Below are 9,293 nucleotides of genomic sequence, written 5' to 3' on the forward strand. Positions count from 1 at the left end.
CAACATACTACCAAGTAGCACTGGCATAGAGAGATCCCTGGAATAAAATGTACCTACTTGTGTGTGTGTGTGTATGAATGTGTGTGTGTGTGTGTGTGTGCGCATGTGCATGTGCGTGTGTGTGTGTGTGTACAGTCTTGCTCTGTTGCCTGGGCTGGAGTGCAGTGGCGTGATCTCGGCTCACCGCAACCTCCGCCTCCCAGCTTTCAAGCGATTCTCCTGCCTTAGCCTCCTGAGTAGCTGGGATTATGGGGTGCGCCACATCGCCTGGCTAGTTTTTGAATTTTCAGTAGAGACTGGATTTCACCATGTTGGCTAGGCTGGTCTTGAACTCCTGGCCTCAAGGGATCCACCTGCCTCAGCCTCCCAAAGTGCTGGGATTACAGGCATGAGCCACCATGCCCAGCCCCTACTTGTATATCACAAAAGTGAGATGATTACTTTTCAACTTTCTTCTTTGTATTTTTTAGGTATTTAAATTTTTTTACAATGAATGTTCCATCTTTACCCAAACAATAAAATCTTTATTGTAAAGAAAGTTAGAAGCAAGAAACATTAACATTTTTTATAACTACAATTTGTATAAAAGCTTTCTCTGTGATCTTTAGTTTTTCTTTCTTCCTCTGAAAAGCTGAATCGTGTTTAATTAAACTCTCAAAAGTATCAAGTTTTTGTCTATAAAATGGCAAAACTGGCTATGATGAAATAAACTGATATTTGCTATTTCTAATAAAAGCATACAATATATTTTTCTTTCTTACCAGATTCAAATATTTAACACCAACATATTAGTCCAAGTCCTATCATCAGTCAGATTTATCAGAAAGGTATGAAAACCCATGCCTACTATAAGGACCAAAATAGCCTAATTCAATACTACTTTGAAAACATGGGGATGATGTTATTATGTAATTGTTTTAAGTACAATAACCACTGATCACATTTGAACTCTCAGGATACTTCAATATTTCTTTTGGACAACTATGACCTGTTGAGTAAATTACCCCCAAATACTTTAATATAGTTTTACAAATCGCCCCAATGCCAGAGACCCAGATCAAAAAAAAAAATAATGGTATGGGTCAGATTCACAGAATAAGCACTAACTTTTATGCAAAATGAAAATAAAGATTTTATCTAAAAGTTATTTGGGGAAAATAAGCAGACTTTATCAAGAATTAGAGCTTGGTAAGAAGGTAACAGAAACCCATTGTTAGAAACAGGTTGACTCTGTGTAGCTTTCCATAGTAGAGTTCAGAGTTTCCTGTCATGATTCCCTTATCAATGCAGTGTAATAACTACTTACACAGCACTTACATTGTATTAGGTATTATAAGTAATCTACAGATGATTTAAAGTATATGGGAGGATGTGCATAGCTTATAGGCAAATACTACACCATTTTATGTAAGGGACTTGAACATTAATAGATTTTGGTATCCTCAGAGATTCCGGAACTAATACCCCATGGATGCCAAGGGACAACTGTACTTAGAGGTAGAACGTCTCTGCTCTTCCTACATGTCCTTATTTTTAACAACTTCTGTTCTTACAAATAATCCTAAGTCAATCAATAAAACTTCAAATTCTATTAACAGCTTAAAAGTACCAAGAAATACTCTGTTCATTCATTCAACTGCCAAAGAAAATGACAACCGAGTACTTTTCCTCTTTTAAACCAAAAAAAGTTTTTGGTTTAATACTAACAAAAGCTTTAATCCTCATTTTAGATATTCCTCTAATACATCTATTTACAATATATCACAGAACTATATTCTGGTTATTAATAATCTCACTTCTTACCAGGGTCTGCTAATCCAGTGGTCTCTAACAGTATGTAATCAAATTTCCCCTTCTTTTGCATCAAATTCTCAATAGCTCTAAGGCCACTGTCCCTGGAGAATACCAAAACATAATTTACAGTTAATTACCTAAATATTTTGAAGTGATTATTATAAACACTTTAAAATATATTCAACAACCCGAGACAAAAGTACCCTTGGGAATGTGAAAATTTAACTCACTTCTAACCTTCTAACAAAATGTCCGTCCCATATTTACCAGTGAGAAAACAATAGATGCATATATATAATAGGTAAAAAGAAATCATATACATAATACTTTATCAAAATTAAAAGCAGAGGAAACTTTATCTGACCAAGTATCTTTTTATAGCTTTATGAAATTTTTAAAAACCAACATACAAAATAATGATAAAATGTATTAACTATAGTAGTTTAATATAATAGCTAAAGAGACACTGATATTAAACACCATATAATTCTATTTTACATTAGGATGCAAGGTTTTAATTTCCTTTTTTCTTATTTTATCAAAAGTGAAGGAAAATCCTTAATAGATTATATTTTGGTTGTTCAAGAAAGTCTGTTATAATTTTATCCTTGCCAAAACATTTGACACAAAGTCAAATACCTAAGGGAGTAAATGATGCCGAAGAGATTTAATTCACTAGAATACACAAAATTAACAGTACAAGTAGTCATTTTTATAATTCATTCAACAAATATTTGAGTGCTACTATGTGTTGGGTAACTCTTCTAGGGTCTATGGTAGACTAGTGAACACTGTCCTTGAAAACTTAACTAGTAGAACATAACGTAAGGTTTTTCTCTTTTTTGATAGTCATTTATTTTTTTTATAAGATTGAACACTTAGAAGTATGACCAATGACAGATTAAATTCAGAATAATCATTTTTTACATATGAGACTTTCATGCACTAGAGATTAAATAAGCCCTGACATCAAAAGCAATAAAAACTCAATAAAAGGACCAAAACATTAGAGCAGATAGAAAAGACAGCAAGAAACACTTTAAGAAAATGCTTCCTAATAAGTTTATTTTCTATTTGTTTGAAAATACAATGAAGCAAACTGTGTAAATTCAGTTAAATTACTCAAGAAAATTAAAGCTGGAAATATAATCAATAAACATTTCTAGTAAACCATGTACACAGTAAACACATTCCTCACTTCACTGAACAGCAGAGGCAACCGTTTCTAAGTTCCAGCCACTCTTCATAGAGCTCTCCACCTTGGCTGACAGCTAAGGATTTCTCCAGCGCACTTCCTAGAATAATTAACAAACAGCACTCTTTAGCTTATGTCCATTAGCCAAAAAAAAACAAAGATGAGGATAACTCAATAATGGAGATCTTAAAGCAGAAACTGCATTTTATAACTTATATTCTTTCATTTTATTCATGCAGCCTCGATATCTAAATTACAGTACACTACATTATTTTAGCTTTTATTTAAGATGACTTAAGCCCTGAAAAAGACACATCCTAAACTGATAAACATACCTACTTCCTCCTTAGGCCTCTTACTTGGCCACCCCCATTTCTTAATAAAGTAGCTATCTTGAAGGCATTTTTTTCTTGTCCAGGGTAAACTTTCTAAATAGACCAGTATGTTTTATATACTGGATTTTGTATGCCCTTCAACCTCTTAAGAGACTGCCTTATCTATCTTTTTCTTTTCATTCTTCTTCTAAATTGTTTCTGTTAGACAAACTGCTGAATATTCCCAATGAGTAAAAACCCTAGTTCATCTTGAGGAAGGTTTTTGGCCAGTGTACCACGTGCTCATTTAAAAATTAAACTTATAGGGAGGCCAAGGCGGGCGGATCACGAGGTCAGGAGACCGAGACCATCCTCGCTAACACAATGAAACCTCATCTCTACTAAAATTACAAAAAATTAGCCAGGTGTGGTAGCGGGTGCCTGTAGTCCCAGCTACTCAGGCGGCTGAGGCAGGAGAATGGCGTGAACCCGGGAGGCGGAGGTTGCAGTGACCCGAGACTGCGCCACTGCACTCCAGCCTGGGCAACACAGCGAGACTCCATCTCAAAAAAAAAAAAAAACCTAAACTTTTAGTCAAATTCACATATTTTCCTAGCAATACTTACTTAAGAAAGAATAAACTACATTTGAAATGCTTGTTATCTATAAGAATTATTTTAAATGTTTTACTTTTCCTCTAATAAAGAAATATACCAAACAGTGAAGTTCTAAAAGCCCACTAAGCAAATGAGCTCCCATAAAATCGAGTAGTTTTACACTTACATATTTTTTATATTTCAGCTAGGTATTAATAAAGAGCTTCTAAAGAGGTTGCTACAGAATTTGGACTATATACAGAACATTAATGAAACATGAAGAAAAGTATTGAGAATGCTGTGAAAAATAAAATTGCAAAAATGATCCAGGAAAAAATAAAGAAAATAGTAAGAATAAATGTAATCAGTGTGCAATAGGTTATTTAATAAGATGATGAAAAAAACAGTCTGTTATTAGAAATCTCAGGATTTTTGCCTAAAAAGCACTTTTCTCTTTCGTTTATTAAAACCAGAAATCGAATATAACTGGCTTCCCATCCTGTTCATAAAACCTAGCTCTTTTACTTTTTACAACTGAAAAAAAATAGTACATTTTAAAAGAAATCGTTTAATAGATATTGTTTTTTGGCTAGAAGTAAGCTTTGATTACAATTCATACTTATGAAGAAAAACTTCTATAAAGATAACAGAAGTATTGTGTCTAGAGCTATTTTTTTGACTACAGTTTAATATTTCAGTTGAGAAGTTAAGCACACTTATTTTCACAGATAACTTAAAATACATGAGGATAAAGACCATATGTTTACCTTTATTTTTAAAATATTGAGTTTTAACTGCATTGCAGATAATAAACATTAAACAAAGTTAACTAATAACAGAAGCATTTTCAAGTATTTTTCATGAGTTGCAATAGAGTCCATACAAAAGTGCTTTCCTAATTCCTAAAAAAAACATTTTTTCGCCAGGCATGGTGCCTCATGCCTGTAATCCCAGCAACTTTGGGAGGCCGAGGCGGGTGGATCACAAGGCCAGGAGCTCAAGACCATCCTGGCCAACATGGCGAAACCCTGTCTCTACTAAAAATACAAAAATTATCTGGGCATGGTGGCGCACGCCTGTAGTCCCAGCTACTCAGGAGGCTGAGGCAGGAGAATCACTTTAACCCAGGAGACAGAGGTGGCAGTGAGCTGAGATTGCACCACTGCACTCCAGCCTGGCGACAGAGAGAGACTCCATCTCAAAAAAAATAAAATAAAATAAAAAATAAACGTTTTTTCATATGTCTAGATTTTTACTTCTGGAGTCATTTATTTCATGTAAAAATGTAGTTTAATTCTGTTAATAAGAATTCCAAAGTTATACAAAATAAAATTTTATTAAAACTAATTTCAGTATCTCAACCCATATAAATCTTAACAGAAATTAATCCAACTTTTCTAAAGCTATCCACATCAATACAATACCTTGCATTTTCATTTTTAAATATGGAATATCAATTCACCAGAGGAATAAACAGTCACACAAAATCTTGCAACATGACATTTATTGAACTTTACTTACCTTCCCCAAATTCATTTAAAATGACCGCTACTCTTTTACTATGTTGCTCTGTCAAAATATAGTTCAGAAGTGTTGTCTTCCCAGCACCTATAAAACATATTTTTTGTAAATAAAAAAATTCAAAATAATTTTAAAGATACAAAAAACATATAAAGAATCCTAACGTTTTTGAGAATTTGCGTGCTATTTTTCATATATTATTTTAGCATAGAATATCCTAGAGGATAAGATTAAAGCATCCTTCGAAACCTGTTGCAAAATACTTTATGTAGACATAAAATTTTATAAATATTTACAAACACTCCTACAAGTTGAAACAGCTTCTTCAACCTAGCCTAACCTTCCCTAAAATTTACACACAATCTTTTATTTATAATGACCTTTTATTTCAACATTAACAAGACGCAACTTCAGGCTGACTATATGGCTACTTATAGTATGCTTTAAACAATCTATAAAAGTTTTTATGAAATGGGGAATAGAGCCAGGTAGTGTCAACAATGGACAGAATGTTCAGTAAGATAAATTCATAAAGCTATACCAACTTTATCCAGCAGGTGGCATATAAAACCCAATATGTCAATCTCCAGTAGAAAAAAAATAGTCTTGTGAACCGTACACACTAAAATTCATAGAGGAAAAAAAGAAAATCCTAACTGCATAGTATTGTAGTTCAATTGTATGACTATATCATTTCTTTATCTTTTTTTTTTGTTGGACATTTGGTTTGTTTCCAGTGTTTTACTATTACAGTGCTGCTAAAAACTTTTACATGTAGGCTATACATGTCTTCTGAAATACATTAAGTTTTCTAGTATATAACTAGATCTTCCTATAACTAGGAAGATTTTACGGAGTATTAGGGTATTAATATCTTTTAGGTCATATTCCTTTCAAAGCTTTTTAACAGATGAAGGCTTATATTTAGAGTACTTTAGGAAGCTCAACATCACAAAAATATGAAGTATAGAATGGAAGAGAGAGACTTAGGGCAATGAGGAAAATCTTAAAACCAGTCCAAGCCTGAGACAGAGGCCCTGAACATGAGTGTTTCACAGGGCAGTGATGTGAAAACTGAAAGGAAAGGGTGAATGTAAGAAATCTTCTAAGAGAAGATTTACTAGGGCTTTTTAACCATATTATGAAAAAAAAAAACACTTTAAGACATAGCTCATTCATTCGAAGGTTTCTAATACGTTACAAATTTATGCTGGGCCTTGGTGAAAAAGTGAACAAGATAGTCTCTGCCTTCATAGAGCTTAGAAATATCAAGGGAAGGGGGGAATGGAGGGGAATTCAGTGAATAAGGAGGCAATTATGTCACAGGGTGACATATTCAATAGGAGATGCACAAATTGCTATGGAGAACCTAAGAGGGACATCTAGCCAGAGGAGTCACAGTAAAAAAGTACCTATTCCAAGGGGCTAAAACACTTGGCACCTTTGAAGTAACATTAGTTCATTGTGCGGGGCCAATTTGGCAGGCTGGAAAGGTTGGCAAGATCCAGATCCTACAGGTCCTTGTAATTCATGTTAAGGAATTTGGATTTTAACCCATAGGGATGCCACTGAAAGGTGTGACGCAGTCGGATTGACATTTATAAAGATCATTAAGGCTAACATGCAACGAATAAATTAAAGGGCAGCAAGACTCCAGATTAGTCAGGAGGCTTTTAGAGTATTCCAAATGGTTGGGATCACAGAAGCAGGATTTGGGGGGATGGTAACAGACGAAGTTTCAGACATGTTAAGTTTTAAGTTGTAGGACATCAAAATAGAAATTACACAGGTGTGTAGCTAAAGATGGACAAAGGGGGAAGGAGGAGGGAGCCTTAAAAAGAAGCCAGAGAAGCAGGTGGAAAAATCAGAAGAAAAATGTAGTAGAAGCCAAAAGAACAGCGTTTCAAAAAGGGAAAATGGTCAGGGATAGGAGTGAAACTATCCCTAGATTCAGCAACAAGGTTGCTGGTATTAATTCTCACTCCTGAGCTTCAGATCATTTTCTCCAGTGATCTACTGACCTACCAGTGAGCAATACGGGAAAGGCCCGAGCGGCACGTTTGAAATACATTGTTTTGGACAAGAAATTTGTTCATCTTCTCAGCAGAGCAGCCTCTGAATAACTGTGGGGAAACGCCAAAAATAAATTCCTTTATAAAATTACTTCCGAGCAAAAAACGGGAATAAACTTACAGTCTACAAAGTTTTTAAAAAAAACAAAAGCAGTTATTTCTTATTTTTACATAAAAGGTCACGAAGTGGCCCAAGTCTGTACCTGTCTCTAGCAACAACTAGGAATATTATTTCCCGGAAACAGTATTTTATTTATATTTCTTAACTTTTTCCAAACTTCTAATACAGCCATATATTTGTTCTAGCCCTTCTATTTAACTGTAAGGTTTAAAAATATATTTCTCAAACTTTTCCAGTAAGAAACTTCTAGTGTAAGTGCATAAACCGCCCTTCACGAAACTACCAAGTTCACAAACTTGTGGTTTCGAGTATCCCTGTACACTCTAAACGTTCTTAGTTTGAGAAATAGTCTTGGAGGACAGAGATTTTATTCTTACTTCCTACGCAGTGGTTTACAAACAGACCTCAAAAAAAAAGTGTTTAAGATAGGAGCGCTCCCTGCCAGCTGGCTGGAGGACTCTGGCTCGTGGGGAAGGGGAATCTACTGACGAAAGCCCCACGTGTCGGGCATTTTACAGACGGGACATCCTTTAATGGCAACAGGTAGGTGGTTCCGGCCCTGTTTCACAGGTGACAGGTATTTCTCCATTTTCAGGTGAGGTAGATGAGCGTCAGGAAGGTAAGATAACTTGGTAAGAGGTCACAGAGACAATTAGGGGGGCGTGTCTTAGCGTCAAAGCCTTGCTTCAAAGGCTAACTTTCCATCTCACTTGAGAAATGGGAATCTAACGCAGAGGGGGCCGGGCATCATTAACTCCCAAGATGAGAGGCAACCCATACGAGAAGCAAGTGACCCAGCCCCGACCTCGAAGACATTTGCTCTTGATCATGAGGCCCCAATGCCTCAGGAGAAGAGGCACCGGCAGCCCGCAAAATCCCATGACACCAGAGGTCACGCCATTTTGTGACTGGGATGGTTAGTTACCTAAATACCCGGTGATAATTGTGACTGGGATCTTGGCGCCGAGGCCAGACTTTTCCTCCTCCTCGCTTTGCGTCGTCTCAATGGGAACCAATTCAGGACAATCCTCCTCCGCAGGATCCTCCTCCTCATCCGCAGATCCAACAGCCGGTAACATTCCGGCCTACAGCACGTCCCTACCTCAGCTGAACCGCTGGGACCAACACGCCGTACCGCAGCCGCGCACGCCCAGCACGCCACTCCCGGCCTGCCCGGGGCCTGACGTCATCACATCGCGACGCTCGCTGATCCCGCCCGGATTACCTGGGCTCTGGACGAGAAGCGCCTCGCCCCTTAGCCACACCCCCCGGGGAGGTGGGCTCTCCCCGACGACAGCTGGACACGCCCCTGGGCGTGTTCTGTGAACCTGAGCGACGCTGCGGAGAGTCCCTAGGGCGCACTAACCACCTGTCTGAAGGTGTCACTGGCGCCTAGAGCCTTAATAAGCTACTGGCTGTAGGTAGAGCTGAGGCCAGTCTGCTGGAAATCTGGAGTGGGTAGCCTGACCTAACCAGTTCCCACAGGGCATAGATTTTATCACCTTGATTTTTTAGTCTCGTTAAAAAAAAAAGTTTTAATTCATAGGGGAAAGAATGGAAGGTTATAACATTATAATTTTAATTGTAATTTTTATACCTGAAGGATAACCAGTGACACTTTTTTCTTTTTTTATTATTACATATTATATATGTAATTCCAAATTTTTAGTATTCATGCAT

At 36.7% G+C, this 9,293-nt stretch overlaps 1 protein-coding gene across 29 annotated transcripts in view; it reads right to left on the reverse strand.

Moving 5' to 3' along the window:
* Nucleotides 1-8,779, reverse strand: part of ZNG1A (Zn regulated GTPase metalloprotein activator 1A) — a 58,220-nt gene extending 49,441 nt beyond the window's left edge. For 16 of the 29 annotated variants that reach the window (NR_174355.1, NR_174360.1, NR_174356.1 and 13 more), the window contains exons 1-4: nucleotides 8,539-8,779; nucleotides 5,421-5,507; nucleotides 2,993-3,089; nucleotides 1,804-1,895 (exon numbers count right to left, since the gene is read on the reverse strand). Coding sequence is in view for 18 of the 29 variants with exons in the window: in XM_047423593.1 (XP_047279549.1) it covers nucleotides 1,804-1,895; nucleotides 2,993-3,089; nucleotides 5,421-5,507; nucleotides 8,539-8,692 (430 nt within the window). In the remaining 11 variants the exon portion in view is untranslated. Of the gene's footprint in view, nucleotides 1-1,803; nucleotides 1,896-2,211; nucleotides 3,090-5,420; nucleotides 5,508-7,445; nucleotides 7,544-8,538 lie in introns of those variants that run through there. The other 13 variants (NR_174353.1, NR_174358.1, NM_001399799.1 and 10 more) reach the window with 7 other exon arrangements.
* Between the last annotated feature and the right edge of the window lie 514 nt (nucleotides 8,780-9,293).

Source organism: Homo sapiens, chromosome 9 (genome assembly GCF_000001405.40).
Source record: "Homo sapiens chromosome 9, GRCh38.p14 Primary Assembly".
Lineage (NCBI taxonomy): Eukaryota > Metazoa > Chordata > Mammalia > Primates > Hominidae > Homo > Homo sapiens.